At 46.2% G+C, this 17975-nt stretch overlaps 1 long non-coding RNA gene across 1 annotated transcript, besides 5 other annotated features; it reads left to right on the top strand.

Annotated features, from left to right (window-relative positions):
• Nucleotides 1539-1833: a silencer, noted in NCBI's record as "tiled region #7947; HepG2 Repressive non-DNase unmatched - State 20:ReprD, and K562 Repressive non-DNase unmatched - State 7:EnhWF". NCBI's record gives its function as "represses a minimal TATA promoter and a strong SV40 promoter by Sharpr-MPRA in HepG2 and K562 cells {active_cell/tissue: HepG2 | K562}" and the evidence as "EXISTENCE:reporter gene assay evidence [ECO:0000049][PMID:27701403]".
• LOC124903142 (uncharacterized) lies at nt 1807-14397 on the top strand. Its single transcript, XR_007063737.1, has 2 exons — nt 1807-1997; nt 13814-14397. It is a non-coding gene; the product is annotated as an uncharacterized LOC124903142 (long non-coding RNA).
• Nucleotides 2896-3265: a silencer, noted in NCBI's record as "silent region_5215". NCBI's record gives its function as "represses an Ori minimal core promoter by ATAC-STARR-seq in GM12878 lymphoblastoid cells {active_cell/tissue: GM12878}" and the evidence as "EXISTENCE:reporter gene assay evidence [ECO:0000049][PMID:35858748]".
• Nucleotides 3316-3465: a silencer, noted in NCBI's record as "silent region_5216". NCBI's record gives its function as "represses an Ori minimal core promoter by ATAC-STARR-seq in GM12878 lymphoblastoid cells {active_cell/tissue: GM12878}" and the evidence as "EXISTENCE:reporter gene assay evidence [ECO:0000049][PMID:35858748]".
• Nucleotides 5011-5060: an enhancer, noted in NCBI's record as "active region_7515". NCBI's record gives its function as "activates an Ori minimal core promoter by ATAC-STARR-seq in GM12878 lymphoblastoid cells {active_cell/tissue: GM12878}" and the evidence as "EXISTENCE:reporter gene assay evidence [ECO:0000049][PMID:35858748]".
• Nucleotides 5071-5150: an enhancer, noted in NCBI's record as "active region_7516". NCBI's record gives its function as "activates an Ori minimal core promoter by ATAC-STARR-seq in GM12878 lymphoblastoid cells {active_cell/tissue: GM12878}" and the evidence as "EXISTENCE:reporter gene assay evidence [ECO:0000049][PMID:35858748]".
• Nucleotides 14398-17975: the final 3578 nt, after the last annotated feature.

Below are 17975 nucleotides of genomic sequence, written 5' to 3' on the forward strand. Positions count from 1 at the left end.
TTCTACAGACCAGGAGCTATAATTTTTTCCCCTAAGCTTATAAATAAAATAACGCCGGGTGCGGTTGCTCATGCCTGTAATCCCAGCACTTTGGGAGGCTGAGGTGGGCGGATTACCTGAGGTCAGGAGTTCGAGACCAGCCTGACCAACATGGAGAAACCCCATCTGTACTAAAAATATAAAATTAGCCGGGTGTGGTGGCGCATGCCTGTAATCCCAGCTACTGGGGAGGCTGAGGCAGGATAATTGCTTGAACCCAGAAGGTGGAGGTTGCGATGAGCAGAGATGGTGCCATTGCACTCCAGCCTGGGCAACAAGAGCTAAACTCCATTTCAATAAATAAATAAATATAAATAACATGATTACATGTAAACAAAAAATAGAATATGATCATTTATTCATTCATTCATCCGTTCAAGAAGCACTAAGTGGCCTTGGCTTTTACTGCTGGCTTGACTCAGCTCTGTTGGGCAAAGGGCAGAGGACTAAGCAACTGGGAGTGAAGCAATTAGAGGATGATTTTCACATTATAAAGAGTCCCAGAGGGTTCCTTTTAGTGTGCTTCCCCAGGGGATTTAAATATTTAAATATTGTTATACAGATCCTTAAGTCTTGCAGCTGGGGAAGATGGGAAGGACAGCTGAGGGTGGTCAGGCAAAAAGCAAAGATTTAAATCTGAAGGGTCAGAGGCCACTGCTAAGAACTGATCTCTAATTCCAATACTAGTTATGCCCTACCAATATATAGCTTAGAAAGTCCGCAAAGCACTTCTTCGACCTTCTCTCTTTTGGTAGTCATGATGATAAACTCTAAACTTGAAGGTTTAAAATGTGATGGGAAGTAACATTTTCCAAAATTGAAATCACACAAAATGTTTGAAGAGTTTGTCTGTGGCAAAAAGAGATTAACGAGAAGGACAGCGTATCTATGACAGATTTCACACATAGCTTCCATTTTCTTTCTCATCGAGGGTGGGGTGGGGAGCGTGGGATGGTGGTGGTATTGCAGTTACTAAACACATATTGTATGTGTGTAGCATGTTTGTGTGTACACACATGTGGTACATATAAAACAGTGTGCATGTCATATATACATGCAAATTCTGTGTGTATGCTCAACAGTCAGATGATAGTGTTCCCAGCGTGCAAACGGGAACAAGATATGGTGGTAGGGGTGTCCAGGAGAGGCAAGAATGTCTACATATTTCATATACATTTATAGCGATACAGAACCTACTATGTGAAATGCCCAGGCCTCTAAGCCCAGAAAATGCAGAAACAAAATAGACCTTTCCCTGCCTCTCCGAGTTTGCAATCTAGTGCTCTTCCACTAGAGCACCCAGGACACTATATGCAGCAATTCAGGGCAGAATGATACCAATACCAAAATAGAAGTACTTAGTGGAATAGGAGAATATTAACTAGTAGTTTTGTGGGGCCAAATGTTGTTCAGACTTGTAAATGTGAGGACGACCTAGACAAGTCAGCCCATTGCCCAAGCTTGGCATGCTCTGAGCAGACAGCTAGCAGCTGCAGAGGTAGGGGTTTCTGGGCAGTCGGGAGCCCCTTCTGCCAAGTTCCCCTTCCCAACAGATCGAGAGCTCGGAGGCTTGGCACGGTCGGTCCCGATGGCCCCAGCGGGAGGGTCACGGTTGAGACAGCAGCCCCATCTCATTGTTTAAGGCCGGGGCTTCCTCTTTTGGCGGAGCGGGAGCGGGAGCGGGAGCTGAGCGGGAAGGGGACGGACGCCGCGGGAGCCTTCGGGATGTCTATTGCTGCCGCTCCCTCCCCTCGCCGGGAGCTTGGGTTTCCCGGGGTGTGTGCGGATTCTCAATAAAAAGGGAAAAGCACGATCCAAGTTAATTTTCCAGCGCCGACAGGAAATGCTGTTTCCTGCATCGTACAACGCTGGTGCCAACAAGACTGACACAGGAGCCCATTGTCCCGCGAACAATGTGGCGATGGGGAAGGACGCCTGAGAAAACAGACCCCGGCCCCGTGAGCGCGTTTGTTTGATCCTTCCCCATAGGGTTGTGTGAGGTGTGTGTCTGTGTGGGTGGGTGTATTTGTGCATGTGTGGTGTACGTCTGTGTGTGAGATTGTGTGTTGGGGGTGTGTGTATATGTGTGGTGTGTGTGGGAGTGTGTCTATGTGTGTCTCCGTAGTATGTGTATCTGTGTGGGTAGGTATGTGCATGTGTGGTGTGTGTGTGTGGAGAGTGTGTATGTGTGTGTGTCTCTGTGGTGTGTGTGTCTGTGTGTGTCTGCATGTGTGTCTCTGTAGTGTGTTTGTGTCTGTGTGAGTAGGTGTGTTTGTGCATGAGTGGTGTGTGTGTGGTGTGTGTGCGTGTGTGTATGAGTGCGTGAGTGTATGAGTGCGTGAGTGTGAAAGTGTGTGTGTGTGTGTGTGAGGCTGAATAGGCTGGTAAAGGCAGGGCACTGTCCCTTCCTGCCCTGCCTCTGCTCCCCTGGCGGGCTCCCAAAGTGGCAAAAGAGACCTAGCTGTCTAAAACGTTCAAAAGAAAAAAGAGAAAGAAAAAGAAAGGGGGAAACGGGGGAAAAGAAAAGCATGGAACAGAAGAGGAAATTTTTTAAAAGAAAGGAGAAGGGAAAGGGAAAAGAAAATAAAATCTCCCCAAAGTCTCCCCAGAGGCTCGTTTCGAACCCGCAGCTAGCCAAGGGCAAATGCATACTCGAAAGTGCCACGCCTCTCGTCCACCCTGCGCCGCGTCCAGTCCACCCCCTTCATCCCGCGCCCCATGTCCACCCGCCCGCTGTCCACCCTGCGCCCCATGTCCATGCGCCCCCTGTCCACCCGCTCACTGTCCAACCCGCGCCCCATGTCCACCCGCCTGCTGCCCACCCCGCGCCCCCAGTGCACCCGCCCAGCCCCGAGCGCCCGCGGAGCCGAGTGGAGAGCAGCGGCCGCAGCGCGGCGCCAGGCTCGGGCTGGGCTGGCCGGCGCGAACCCCCGGGGGCGTCTGGGCGGCCAGGCCGGGTGGCGGCTGCGCACGTAGGAGTACCCCCTGAGCCCAGCCGCTCGGCCGGCCTGACCCGCGGGTGACCGGATACGAGTAACGCGTGCGCCCCGATCTGTGCCCTGCGCGGGGTCGGGCGGGGACCGGCCGGGGGCGCCGCGCGCCCGGTCGGGTTGACTGTCGGGGGCGATTTCCGCGGGGCAAGGCGGGGGCGCGGGAGCAGCGCGCAGCTGCGGGGCCATTCCACCTGAGCGCCCTGAGGTCAGGGCCGGGGCCTGAGGACACGGCGCTGGGCTCCGGGGGACGCGGGTTCACGCCGGCGCCCGAGCGCCACCTCCCCGCCCTCCGCCGGCTCACGTAGTCCCGGGGTTCGGTACGTGAAGTGCCGGCGCGAGGCTGCTCAGGCCACCGCATGGGCCGGGCGATAAACAATCGCACAGGATACACAACACCCTGGACTGTCACAAGCCCCTCGCAGGAAAAGATAAATAACATCTGAGGCGCTGCGGCGCGGCTTCCCCGGGCTGAACAAAAACTAGGAGGTGGGGGGCGGTGGGGCGAAGTAAACAACAGAACCGAAGAATTGCCGCACGGAGCCTGGGCCGGCGGAGAAAATCAGATGCAGTCTCCTTCCCTTTGGTGACTATCCGTGGGGGTTTCTCCCGGTGGAAATGAGCGACACACACACCACACCACACACTACGTTCAAACTTTGTCCTTGAAAGCGATAGGCAGCTGCCTCTCTGGGTAAGAGGCGCATTTCCCCAGCACTGCAGGAAACCTTTTGGAGACCAAGTGGCTTTTCTGGACGAGGAGGCTGCAGAATTTTCCGAGGATACAACTTTTTCCCAAAGGTTTGCTCCTTGGGATTAGAGCAGGCAGCGACCCAAACCACCCTTACACCCGTGGTTTCATGTCAATTTCTAATATAAAGGAAATCTCTACCCCTGTTTAAAAAGAAGGGGAGGAGCACCAAAATCCAAACCAGAGAACTACAGATACTCCATGGGCACAATAAAATGTCTGTTAACAATACATACGGGCTGTAGTGGTTCACGCTTGTAATCCCATGCTTTAGAAGGCAGAGGCAAGAGGATCGCTTGAGGCCAGGAGTTTGAGACCAGCCTGGGCAACACAGCAAGACCCCATCTCCACACAAAAAAATTAAAAATTAGCGGAGCGTGGTGGCACATGCCTGTAGTTCCTGCTAGTCTGGAGGCTGAGGTGGGAGGACTGCTTGAGCCCAGGAATTCGAGGCTGCAGTGAGCTATGGTCGTGCCACTGCACTCCAGTCTGGGCAACAGAGTGAGACCCTGTCTCTTAGAGAAGAACCAAAAACCTACAGGGTTTTTACCTGGTAGCCCTTGATTTCTCCCACCTGGATTTGGAGTGACCAAAGCAGTCCTTTGCCTTCTGTGAACTGGTTGGGCCCAGCAGGACTGGCCTTTGTGATTCACCCCTGTCTTACTTTGTAGACTCAGCTAGTTTTCAGGCTGCTGGTCTCCACTGCCCAAACAGGATCACTTAAGAAGTTCAGCTTCACACCTGTCTTTCTCACAGTCTCTTGAGCACTGCCCAAACTGCACTACATGAGATTTATAACTTACATTAAGGCTTAGGCACCCCCCACATCAATTTCCCCTGCATAGGGTATATGCTTTACTTACACACATTATTAATCTGTTCATGTGAGCTGGGCCACTCCAGGAGCTCATACTAGTCTGTCTTTTCAATAATCTTTAGCTGTATGTGAATTAGTTTATGTAATGTTCCTTGATTAGTGAAAGCAGGGGTTCAGAATGGGGGGATGCGGTGAGAGTGTGGGGGAACTTCTTACTCAATACAATTCATAGCAGGCTGATATTCTCATTTCTCTTGGATGCTCTGACCCCTAGCTCAGTAGTGATATATAGAGTGTCTAGATTTCTAGATGTTACTCAAGCTTTCTCATGCCCGCCACGCGGTGTGAGACATCTGGGTTGGGTGCTGGAACAAGTTGGTGGCGGGTTTTGATGGCAGCAGCCAGCTGTCTGGTGTGGCCACTGCCATCACACAGGCCACTGCAGGGAGGGCACAGGGAGGAGGCAAGCAGCACCCCCACCACTTCCCCCACAACCCGCTGCCCTGGGGGCTGCACGATGATGCTTGGCCAGGTTGTATGCCAGGCAAGGGGAAGCTCCAGACGCCTCTGAGTGCCGGGGCCACAGGGGGAGCTTGCAGCAATGGATACATTGACCTTGCCATAGATGCCAGCCAAGACCCAGCGAGGACCTGTAGCCCCTGCCCTAGGCTGTGAGGGAGAGCGATTGGGTGCTGTGCTCCACAGAGCCAGCAGGAGCCAGGGACAAGCGGGAGCCATGCTCCTTCCAAGTTGGGAGGGCAGGAGCTCTGCAGATGCAACTGTGTCTGCCCAAGCTGCTGCTGCAACACGGGCACCCCTGTGCTCTTGGGAGCCTGGAGTAGGCAGGAGCCCCGCCCTCCTGGGCTGGGCTGCAGCCGCCCAAGTTGTGGCTTTGGATCTGGGCCTCCAGCTCCACAGAGCAGGTAGGAGCCCCAGCCACCTCCCCATCCCAACCCAACCCCCCCATCCCACTAGCCACCCCCAACAGCTGCAGCTGCCAAAACCAGGGCTGCAGACCCAGGCATTCCTGCACTCTTGGGGATCCTGGGAAGCCCTGCCCTGTTGCCCTTGCAGGCTCAGAGGAGTCCACTCCCATTGCCTGGTCTCTCCCTGCTCTGATCTCAGAGTTGGGGCCAAGCCCTGACACTGTCACTGCCTGGCAGGGTGTGCACACGCTGGGGGCAATGCTGACGTGCCAGCCCCCTGCTTCCTTGGCCCCCTCTGGACTTTGGGAATGGAGGAGCTCGGGAGGAGAAGCTGAGGGGGACTGAGGGCAGCTGGGTGCCAACCTGCAGGTGCCCTTTGGTGCCAGCAGCCTGGGTACCATGGCTGGCCGTGGGAGGCAGACAGGCTCCTGGGCAGAAGGGAGCAACTCCCCAGTGAAGCTCCACCTTCAGGCCAGGGCAGTCCTGAAGCCTGGGGTCAGGGCTGCCAGTCCTGTGGACTGGAGGGAAAACTGATGGTGTTTTTTCCTGGGCCTGTCCATGGCTGCCCATGGACCAATCAGCACGCAGTTCCCCCCTCTGAGGCCCATGAAAGCCCCAGAGTCAGCCAGAGCAGGGCAGAGGACAGAGAGGATGGAGAGACATGGCCGGGATGACCAGCTGCAGAGAGGACCTACATCTCTGCTGATAGCTGGAGATGAAGGACAACCAGCTGCAGAAAGGAGCAATCACTCTCCAGGGCCTCCTTTCTGCTGAGAGCAGCAGATGTGAGGAGCAAGCCTTTTCCAGGACCTCCTCTCTGCTTAGAGCAGCAGATGTCTGGAGGACCAGCAGCAGAGAGGAGCTACCCTCTCCAGGGCCTCCTCTCTGCTGAGAGCTGAACACTGGACTGGACTGACTTGTCTACGGAGAGGAGCTACCCACTGTGGGTCTCCTCTGAGCTGTTACTGGACAAACGAGTCCTAATTTTATAATATCTAGTCTCTAGGTAAGAGATTGCCTTGTATGACAGAAGTAGTTAGTAAACTAACACATTTTGTACACATTGTTAAAATTCATAGAAAGGCTGTCTTCTGAAAAGGAGTTTTGGAATTGAAATGGTAACATCAGCTCTAAGTGACACATGTGCCTATATCTACCAGGCTGGTGGTGGAGAGGAATTGAAAGGAATGAAGGATTCTAAACTAGAATGTTCCTCTTTAGAAGACACTTTAAGATATAACCATTGTTACATGTGTGTAGTTTATTCAACACTACTGTGTATCTATATACACAGTATATAGTCCGTATTTGAAACATCTAGTCTTTCCAGATGTTTAGAAGGGCACAAAGTATGTTAAAAGTAGAGGTAGTAAATAACACATTTTGTAGATATCCTTTTGATTCATGTGCAATATTGTCTCTTGGAAATTGATCAAACCACTTCCTTGAGTGGTACACATTATTATATTTGTGCTGGTTCAAAAAGGAAGGAGGAGCAGAAAGTGCAAAGGGCTTTCTACCAGTGTGTTTATGGTGAGGCACACTGACCATTGTCCCTTATGTCTGCGTTTTCTCTTACTGTGCTGTGTATATAGTGTATACAAGTGGACAAAGGAGTCCTAATTTGCAATGTCTAGTCTTTCTCGATGTTAAAGACGTTGCCAGTGTATGACAAAAGTAGAGTTAGTAAACTAATACATTGAGTAACTTTGTGTTAAGATTCATAGGGCAGACTGTTTTCAAAAACACAGAAGTGAAGTTGTTAAAATCCCCTCTAAGCATTACAGATGATTATACCTGTCCACTGGGTTGACAGAGGTCAGAAGGGAAAGGGTTCTAGGTCAGAATATTCCTATTTAGAAGACACTTTCAAATTATAGCTTGTGTTATGTATATGCACCATTTATTTATTCAATGCTACTGTGAAGATAGTGGAAAACTTAAGTCCCATTTGAAACATCTAGTCTTTCTAGATGTTTAAAAGTGCACAACATAGGTTAAGAGGGCTAAAATAACACTCTTTAAACATTTTTTTCATTCTTTCCTAGGAGTGGTTGCATTTGAGAATGGAATTGTTAAACTTGATGTTTTGGAGAGTATGCTGACTATTCACTGGGTGGCTGTGGGTCAGGGAGGAGGAGGTATGTAGGGAGAAGGGTTCTGTGTCCTTGAGTTGGATTAGTTCAGGAGGTCTCACCACTGTTCTACACGTGCATTTTAGTTAACATTGTTGTGTGTTAAAGGATAAACAAGTCCTAATGCTCAAAGAATGTGAAAAGTAGAGGTAGTAAAGCAATCCCTTTATAAATGCTTCTTTGTTAGCTTTTAGGAAGGCCTGTCTGGGTGTGACCTCTGTTAATCCACCTTTTGGAGCTAGACATCCTATACTTAGTCACTGGGATGATGAAAGAGGGAAAGAGGAAGAGTGAACGGAAGGGTTTTTCGCTAGTATCTGCATATCTAGAAGATGGTTTTAGATGATAACCATAGGTCTATATGAGCATTTTTAGTAAAGTGCCTCTGTTTATTGTGGACAAAATTCATTATTTTGCAACATCTAAGAATGTCCTGGATTGATAATGTATGATAAAAAGTAGAGCTAGTGAATTAATCAATTTGTAAATATCTTTTGGTTATAACTGATAGAAAAGATGCATCTTGGATATGGAATTGTTAAACCACCTCTGAGCAGTGTATGTCAGGACTTATTCATTGGGTTGGCAGCAGAGGGACAGAAAGAAGTATATAAAGAAAGATGTATACAGATGTGTCCATATTTACATTTTGATGATAGCCATCGATGTGTGTGCATCTCTTTTGGCTGTGCTGTAGAAATACATTAAGTAATTCAGTGGACACATACCTTCTTGCTAATATTTTAATGGTATGGATCTGCTAATGAATCCTCTTAGAAACACTATACTTAGTGGATTCTTTTGCTGTGTGTTTCTTTCTTTTTCTTTCTTTCTTTTTTTTTTTTTTTCTTTGAGACGGAGTCTCGCTCTGTCGCCCGGGCTGGAGTGCAGTGGCGCGATCTCGGCTCACTGCAAGCTCCGCCTCCCGGGTTCACTCCATTCTCCTCCCTCAGCCTCCCAAGTAGCTGGGACCACAGGCGCCCGCCACCACGCCCGGCTAATTTTGTTTTTGTATTTTTAGTAGAGACGGGGTTTCACCGTGTTAGCCAGGATGGTCTTGATCTCCTGACTCGTGATTCGCCCGGTGTGAGCCACCGCGCCCGGCTGTGTGTTTCATTTTAAATCGAGCATTGCAGTATTTTAATCAGAACTCTGCCAATGTTTTTATATAGAGGTGTGTTGCCATTTTGGTCTTCTGTGAAGTTTTTGTCTCAAGAAAGGCAGGATTACATTTTTTTCTAACAGAGTGAGTTGGTGTAGTCTATTCTTGGTTATCAAAATTCTCCTATAGCTGTGGGATTTTGAGTTGGTAAATATTCATGATGTGTGAAAAAGCATGATATATACTGTACAGTCTCAGTCCCATAAAATTGGATGTTGTGTCTACACACACACAGGACCTGGAAAGACTCGTCAAACTGTAAACTGCTTGTGATTGTGGATGACTTTGTTCTTTGCTTCTTGCGTTTTTCGGTTTTCTATAATGCACATATTAACTTAAAAAAAAAGGTTATTTTTAAAACCTGGAAAAAAAAAGAGACATAAGTGATGTTTAGTTTGGAAAAGAGGAGATACCTTAGGAAACATGAGCGCTGCTTTCATGTTTGAAATGTATGAAAAGATGTCAGATAAAATAAGAATTGAAATGAGGTAGGCTCCCATGCCCCGAGGAAAGACCCATGGGCAAGAACTTCAGAGAAACCGACTGGACTCAAACACACACACCTGTGCCCCACCAACAATAATAAACCTATCACATAGTCAAAGTGGTCCCAACACGACAGGGCCTGCCAGAGAAGCCTGAAAATGAGAGTGATTATCTACAGTTTACACCGTTCCTGGTGACTGTATCTTTTGGTAACAGACAGACTTCTGATTGATACAGCTGCCTCAGGAGGAAGTAAGATCCCCCAAAAGAAGTCAGATTACAGTGGAACCTGGATGACTCATTACATAGTAAGATAGGAGGCAAGCATCCCTTCGGGGACAGTGTTTAAGACCTCTTCTATCACCACCCATGTAAATTCCATTATCTGCATATTTCTGTTTTGCTATGGGCCAAACAAGCAAAACTCTGCCTTGCTGTAATTTCTTAAACCTAATAAGATCATTAAGATTTTTTTTTTTTCTTTGAGTTGGAGTCTCGCTCTGTTGCCCAGGCTGGAGTGCAGTGGCGCAAACTCGGCTCACTGCAAGCTCCGCCTCCTGGGTTCACGCTGTTCTCGTGCCTCAGCCTCCCAAGTAGCTGGGGCTACAGGTGCCCGCCACCAGGCCCGGCTAATTTTTTGTACTTTTAGTAGAGACGGGGTTTCACTGTGTTAGCCAGGATGGTCTTGATCTCCTGACCTCGTGATCCGCCCGCCTTGACCTCCCAAAGTGCTGGGATTACAGGCGTGAGCCACGGCGCCCGGCCTCATTAAGATACTTTTATATTACTGTTTTATGAAGAAAAGTATGCATCATGTAAACAACTGAGAAAGGCACAATTCTGGGTTTACAGATTGGAAAGTTTCAACACATAACCACTCATTGCTAATGATATAATGTTCATGAATACTGTGGGTTTGAATAATTAAGACACTGCTGGTAGGAATGTCAAAGGGCACAACCATTTGAGAAAACAATTTGACAGTTTCTTGTAAATTTAAATATGTGCTTTCCAAATGACTAAGCTACCCCACTCCTAGGTATTTTTCGACAAGAAATGGAAACTTATGTCCACACAAAGACCTATATGCAAGTGTTTGTAGCAGCTTCATTTATAATGCTGAAAATCGGAAAGAATTTGAATGTTTGTCAGCTAGTGAATGGATAAATAAATTGTAGCACATCCACACAATGGACTACTCCTCAGTGCTAAAAAGGAGGTGAACTGGTGACACATGCAAAGATATGGGTGAGTCTCACAAGCATTATGCTAAGTGAAAGAAGCCAGACACAAAAGCTATGTACCTCTCATACTTTATGATTTTGTTTTTGTGAAATTTGGAAAACACAGAACTACAGGTACAAAAATCAGATTAGTGGTTGCCAGGAACTGGTGGTATGAGCAGGGCTTGACTGCAAAGGAGCACAAGAGAACTATTTGGGGTGATGGAAATATTCTATATCTTGATCATGGTGCTGGTTATACAATGATATACATCTGTCAAACTCATAGAACTGCACGCTAAGAGGGGAAATTTTACTCTATGTGTTTTATTTTATTTTACATTTTTAGAGGTGGGGATTTCAGTATATTGCCCAAGCTGGTCTCGAACCGGGCTGAAGCCATCCTCTTACCTCAGCCTCCCAAGTAGCTGAGATTACAGTTACCACCGTGCCCGGCTGTATGTAAATTATACCTCAGTAAAACTACTTGAAAAAAGTTCTGTCCTCATTTTCAATAGCTATCATCTGGTGACTCACATAACAGTTGATATCGAATAAATGTTGAATGAATCTGGGTGGAAGTTTTGTTTTTCAGCCAAGTCAAATTGTACAGAGATGAACTGGACACGAGTAAGCACTCTGTTCCTCTCGAAGGTGCTCTGCTGTCCGTGTGAGGAACTCTCCCCTCTGTGATCCCTTGTGACTTAGAGGTGGTATGGGAGGGCGTGGCCATGCCTGGGGGAAGCAGTGCCACTATATCAGGTCAGCTTTTTGATGAGTCTTATTCATCCTGGAACTGTATCTTCATTCAGGAAACTCCCTGCAGACAACCCAGTATTGAAAAACGCAAACATTGTTCTGAGGATCTGCATAGGCAAGGCCTGGCTGGGAACACTGCCTGAAGGAAAATCCCTCATCTTGGGGCAGCAGAGGATTCTAAAAATGAAAGTGCCATTCCCAAGGATCCATAGTTCCTTCTAATTTTCTAATCTAGGAATTGTCTTTTCAAGTCGATTATAGAAAAAATAGATCATAAAACACCCCCCTCCAAAATTTAAATAATTTACTGCCAGAAATTGCTAGAATACTGTAGCTGGCTTTAGGCAAATATGAAAATATACCAATTTATATTTATAGAGCAGTTATTTTACTTTTATTTTGTCAAGTGAGTTTTCTCTACAAATAATTTTTCATTGGATTCTTTTTTTTGCCATCATAACCGTTTTTAAGTGTACAGCTCCATAGTGTTGTTTATTCATATTGCTGTGCAACCAGTCTTCAGAACTCATCTGTCTCATGGAACTGAAACTCCATGCCCATTAAATATGAACTCCCCATTGTTCCCTCCCTGCCAGCCCGTTTTTGGTACCATTTCACTTTCTGTGGATGATTTTTGACTTCTCTAAGGACCTCATATGAGTGAACTCATACAGCATTTGTTCTTTTGTGACTGGCTTATTTCACTTAGCAAAATAACCTCAAGGTTCATTTATGTTGTAGTATGTGTCAGAATTTCCTTCACCTTTAAGGCTGAATATCCCATTGTGTGTTTCTGCCACATTTTATCTATTCATCTGTCTATGGATACTTGGGTCACTTCAGCCTTTTGGCTAGTGTGAATAATGCTGCTGTGAACATGAGTGTACAAATATCTCTTCAAGATCCTGCTTTTATTCTTTTGGGTATATAGCCAGAAGTGCAATTGCTGGATCCTATGGTAATTCTGTTTCTAATTATTTGAGGAACCTTCATACTGTTTTCCACAGTGGCTGTACCATTTAACATTCCCATCAGCAGTGCACAAGGGTTTTAATTTTTGCGCATCCTTGTCAATGTTTGTTATTTTCTTTCTTTTATTGACTTATATTTTTGATAGCAGCTCTCCTAATGGCTGTGAAGTGGTATGTCATTGTGGTTTTGATTTGCATTTCCCCATTGACTAGTCAGGTTGAACATCTTTCCATGTGCTTGTTGGCCATTTATATATCTTTTTTGGCAAAATGCCTATTCAAGGCCTTTGCCCAATTTTTAATTGGGTTGTTTGTTTTTTGTTGTTGAGTTGTAGGAGTTCTTCATATATTCCAGGAATTATGCTCTTATCAGATATATGACTTGCAAATATTTCCTCCCATTCCATGAGTTGAATCACGGGATTCTTTTAAGCAACAATTTCTTCTAGTGCAGGAGCTTGTGCTTTAGCAAGCTCCCCGGGTGATACTGATAAATCATATGGCTTTGCATCACTGTTCTGATGCACATATGATGGGATTGAACTTTCATTAACATATTTATGTAACAATATTTGTGATAATTTATGAAACCCTAGCATCCTTGGGAAGTGAAGTCTGATGACAGCCTAAGAAACTGTACCTTCTTTTTTAGATCAAAAGTTTCTCCTACCTGTTTCCATGATCCATGGCTTCACTCTCCCCTGGTTCTCCTTCTACTTCTCTATGTGTACCATGTTAGTCCCTTTTGGGACTGTCTCATACTCCTTCTATTCCCTAAATGTGAAATTTCCCACAGCTCTTTTCTCAGCCCTATTCTTTCTCAACAGGTACCTTCCCTAAACAATTATATTGTGCCCTTGACTTTGACAGTGCTGACTCCCAGATTGAGCACCCCAGCCTAGCCCAGACCCAGACACACATGTGCCTTCCAGACATATCTGTAGGGGAGCTAACGGCGCTTCGAACTAAATGAATCCGAATCTTACTTGTTCTTTCCCCCTCCAAACTTGAACTCCTTTGCATTTGTCAAAGCCAGAAACTTCACAGTCTATCTCTCCCTTAACCCCCATGTTCACTAAGTCATTTAATTCTGGTAATGCCCCTGATCCTCTGATCCTCCTCTTCATTCTGGCTTGACATAGTCTTGGTTTGGCAAGTCATATTCAGAGAAGCTTGAGGCTTCTCTCTACACACACGTGGACACACTCATTCAACTCACAATGCGTGTAAGCTGCTACACCCCTGGTGAACAGGCCGTGAAATTGCCAAGAGCTTTCTCCATGGGTTGGCCAATGACATCATAGAATGGTATGGTGGTTTGGGAGGGGAGGGCAATTTTGTGCCCCGGGGGATGTTTGGTGATGTCTAGAGATTGGGGTGGTGATGGTGGTAAGGTGCTACTGGCATCCAGCAGGTAGAGACCAGGGATGCTGCTAAATATCCTCCAATGCACAGGACAGCTCCTCCCACCAACAAAAAATTGTCCAGCCCTCAAAGTGCCGAGGTGAGAAATTCTCCCCTAAGATGATCTTTAACCTTTTGTTCTACACCCAGATCTCTCTTACCGGGGGATGCACCAAAGCCCAGCTGTTCAGTGTCAATGGCTGCCAGCTCCCAACTACATCCCACACAGACGGGAGCCACCTCAATGTCTGCGAGATTTCCTGTCCCTCCTTTTCAATCCCATCAAGGCACCCTCTACCAATGACTGATGGATACAGGGATACAAAAGCCCAGACACCTATCTTCCAAGAGGAAAAAACTCTGTGGTGGTGCCATTTATGTTCCAGAGCAACTGCGGGATCAAGCTGAGGCTGGACTCCAGCTGAAACCACATGCAACAGACTGAATGCTTGTGCCCTCCCAAAATTAATATGTTGAAGCTCTAATCCCAATGTGATGATGGTATTAGGGAGGTAATTGGGTCATAAAGGTGGATCCCCTGTTAATGGGATTAGTGCCCTTATAGGAAGAGGCCAGAGAACTAGCTTGCTCCCTTTTCTCCATGTAAGGACACAGCAAGAAGGTGGCAGTCTGCAAGCCAGGAAGAGAGCCCTCACCAGAGCCTGCCTATGCTGGCACTCTGATCTTGAACTTCCAGCTTCCAACACTGTGAGAAATAAATGTGTATTGTGTGAGTCCTCAGTCTGTGGTAATTTGTTGTAGCAGCTCAAGTTGACTAAGACATGGCATCTTTTCTTAGCTGCTCTGCTTCTATTTCCTACTTCTCTCTTCTCCCTTCAGGTCCCTTATGAGAGTGTGCTCCCAAAATACCACTTGTACAAGAATCTCCTGCTCAGCTCAGCTTCTAGGAAACTTGACCTAAGACACAGGCCATGACCAACATTCACCAGTGTGGGAGAGCAGAGGATGGAAAGGTCAGCCAAACACTGCCAAGCCAGGCCAACTCCTGAGAGCTTCTCTGGCAATGATTTCTGGCCCCTAGGTGCTCAGCCAAGTGATGACCAACCCAACGCCAATGAGGCAGCTCCCTGGGGAAGCTGAGTTAACAATATCATGTGATCAGTTAAACCAGTGAAAAAGTATGAAATTCTGTCAGTAAATGTTAGAGTTGGTAGAGGATGGGTTATAGCTTTGTTTTCAACACTCAGTGAAAATGAGCCCCTGGAGACAACCCTTCTGTATTAGTCCGTTTTAATGCTGCTGATAAAGACATACCTGAGACCGGGCAATTTGCAAAAGAAAGAGGTTTAATGACCTATAGTTCCACATGGCTAGGGAGGCCTCACGATCATGATGGAAGACAAGGAGGAGCAAGTCACATGGATGGCGGCAGGCAAAGAGAGATTGGGCAGGGAAACTCCCCCTTATAGTACCATCAGATCTCGTGAGACTTATTTTCTCTCATGAGAACAGCACAGGAAAGACCTGCCCCCATGATTCAATTACCTCCCACCAGTTCCCTCCCACAACACATGGGAATTCAAGATGAGATTTGGGTGGGGACACTGCCAAACCATATCACCTTCCTCTTGTCTTCCAGATTTCTATTACAGCCATTCGTTTTTCTATTAGTTCCAGTCAGATCAGAGCCTTACCCTGCAAGTGATTCTTTGGCTCCCCATCATCCACAGGTGAAACCCAACCATCCATTGCATGACAGAGGTCCTTATGATCTAGCCCTTACCTGCCTTTTGGTGCATCTCTACTGCTCTCCTATAATATACTTTAAGCTCTTGAAAACATGGACCTACTTCAGTTCCCTAAACTTCCTACCTTCTGAATATGCTGGTCCCCTTCTCTTTCCCCATTGTTGTCTCCCCATTGACACCTGGCAATCTCCCACTCACCCTCCAAGTCAGAGATTTACAGGGTCATTTCACCTGAGGGCTGACTTCAGGAATCCTTTCTCTGAGTTCTTTTTTTTTTTTTTTTTTTTTGAGACAGAGTCTCACTCTGTTGCCCAGGCTGGAATGCAGTGGCATGATCTTGGCTCACTGCAACCTCTGCCTCCCAGGTTCAAGCGATTTTCCTGCCTCAGCCTCCCAAGTAGCTGGGATTACAGGCGCCCGCCACCATGCCCAGCTAATTTTTGTATTTTTAATATAGATGGGGTTTCACCATGTTCCCCAGGCTGGTCCCAAACTCCTGACCTCAGGTGATCCACCCGCCTTGGCCTCCCAAAGTGCTGGGATTACAGGCGTGAGCCACCGCACCTGGCCCTTTCTCTGAGTTCTAACTGCACGTTGTTCATTCCACCACCAGAGCAGTTATCATTCTACTATAATTGTTCATCTGCATTGTCTTTCCTGTAACCTAAAATTCCTTGAGCTCGGCAACTGTCTATTTTTATTTTGTATCCTAGGACCTAATAAGGACTTTGGGTGCACTGGAGTCTATTTAGTGCTTCAGGAAGTAGATTCTGAGCTTGGACTGCCTGCATTCCCAGCTCTGTTACTTGCTATCCTGGGACTTTGGACAAGCTACTTCGCATTCTGTTTTATTACCTGTAAAATGGAGATAACAATGTTGACTTCTCAAGTTACTGTGAGGATTATCCAGGTGAAGCCACTGTGCTTGAGCAGGTGGGTAAGGGCTGGATCATAAGGCACAATTCCTGGAACATAGTAAGCATGCTAATTGTTATAAATGTTCACTGCATAGTGCTATCCTGACTGCTAATCCCTAACCTCAAAGTACTGATGAATAAACAACAGATACAAAGAAGTGCTGCTCTACCAGACAGACAGTAAATATAAGAGACGTATTTACTTACTTTAGAGAGAGCTGACGTGCTGTTTACTAATCTACCCATCATTGCTCTATCAGGCCCTTTTCCTGCTGGGCTATTCTAGGAAGATGGTATTTGAGATAAGCCCTGAAAGATAAGATGAAGTCAGCAGAAAGTGTAAGGGAGTGTGTCTTTGGACAGAGAGAAGAGCTTGTGCAAAGGCCCTGAGGCAAAAACAAAAATCAAGCAAAACCCCTCACTCCCTCCCACTCTACTAACCCCCTACTAACCCCACCATTAACGAGAAAAATAGAGGGTGTTCCAGGGACCAAGAGGAAGCTGCTGTATCTGATGCTTAGAAAGTTACAGAGATGTGTCAATGGACCTGGTGCTAAATAATAATAATAAATAATAAAGTTAGAAGGAAAGAAGGATGAGAAGAAGTTGACAAAGAAAAATTAGATCATGCAGAACCTTGTAGGAAAGCATATGGGTCTCATCCAAGGTGTGATGGGAGGTTTTTAGGCCGTGTAATAAGACGATCTGTTTTCTGTTTTTTAAAACAGATTGTCTGACTCAGGAGGCTTTTGTGTTAATAGATAAACTGTGAATTCAAAAGAAAAGTTATTGACTATTTCAAAGATTAAACAATGACTTTCCCATGTATCTTTGAAATTGTTAAAAGCCATTTTAATTTCCAGAATGTATAGGAAGGGTTAAGGGGAATAGCTGATTATTATTATTATTTTTTTTTTTTTGAGACAAGAGTCTTGCTCTGTCGCCCAGGCTGGAGTGCAGTGGCACAATCTCAGCTCACTGCAACCTCCACCTCCCAGGTTCAAGCGATTCTCCTGCCTCAGCCTCCAGAGTAGCTGGGCTTCAGGTATGCACCACCACATCTGGTTAATTTTTGTATTTTTAGTAGAGACAGGGTTTCACCATGTTGACCAGCCTAGTCTTGAACACCTGACCTCAGGTGATCCACCTGCCTTGGCCTCCCAAGGTGCTGGGATTACAGGTGTGAGCCACCATGCCTGGCTGATTTATTTTTAAAAGTAGATTTACAAAAGTCCACAGGCATGTAAGTGTAACGTTTTAATTTTCTTTTTATGCCACAGCAAAGGATGAATTCTTGTTGGTAATTTTTTGATTAGATCATTTCAGGCAGATCTTACATTCAGAAGTTTTATTGCCATAGCTACTATGGGGAAGGCCTTGGTGATCATTTGCAAAAATTTTGTTAAGACTTGAATTGTAAAATTCTGCTTGCGTCTATTGCTGTTTTAAAAATGGCAGCTACAATTTCAAGGCTTAAGTGAAGGTAATGGAAATCATTTCTTTAAGTGAAAGGGGATTAAATGGTACCTATGTAAATTCTATACACTTAAAAGATTAATTTCCATCAAATGGGAAATATTTTTCTGTTATACTTTCTTACCTGAAATAAATTCGTTCATTTCTATGTAATTTTAAAAACGGTTTTACTGATAGTTTTATCTATAGCTTTACAAATTGGCAATTTCA

This window comes from Homo sapiens, chromosome 13 (genome assembly GCF_000001405.40).
Source record: "Homo sapiens chromosome 13, GRCh38.p14 Primary Assembly".
NCBI classification, from domain to species: domain Eukaryota; kingdom Metazoa; phylum Chordata; class Mammalia; order Primates; family Hominidae; genus Homo; species Homo sapiens.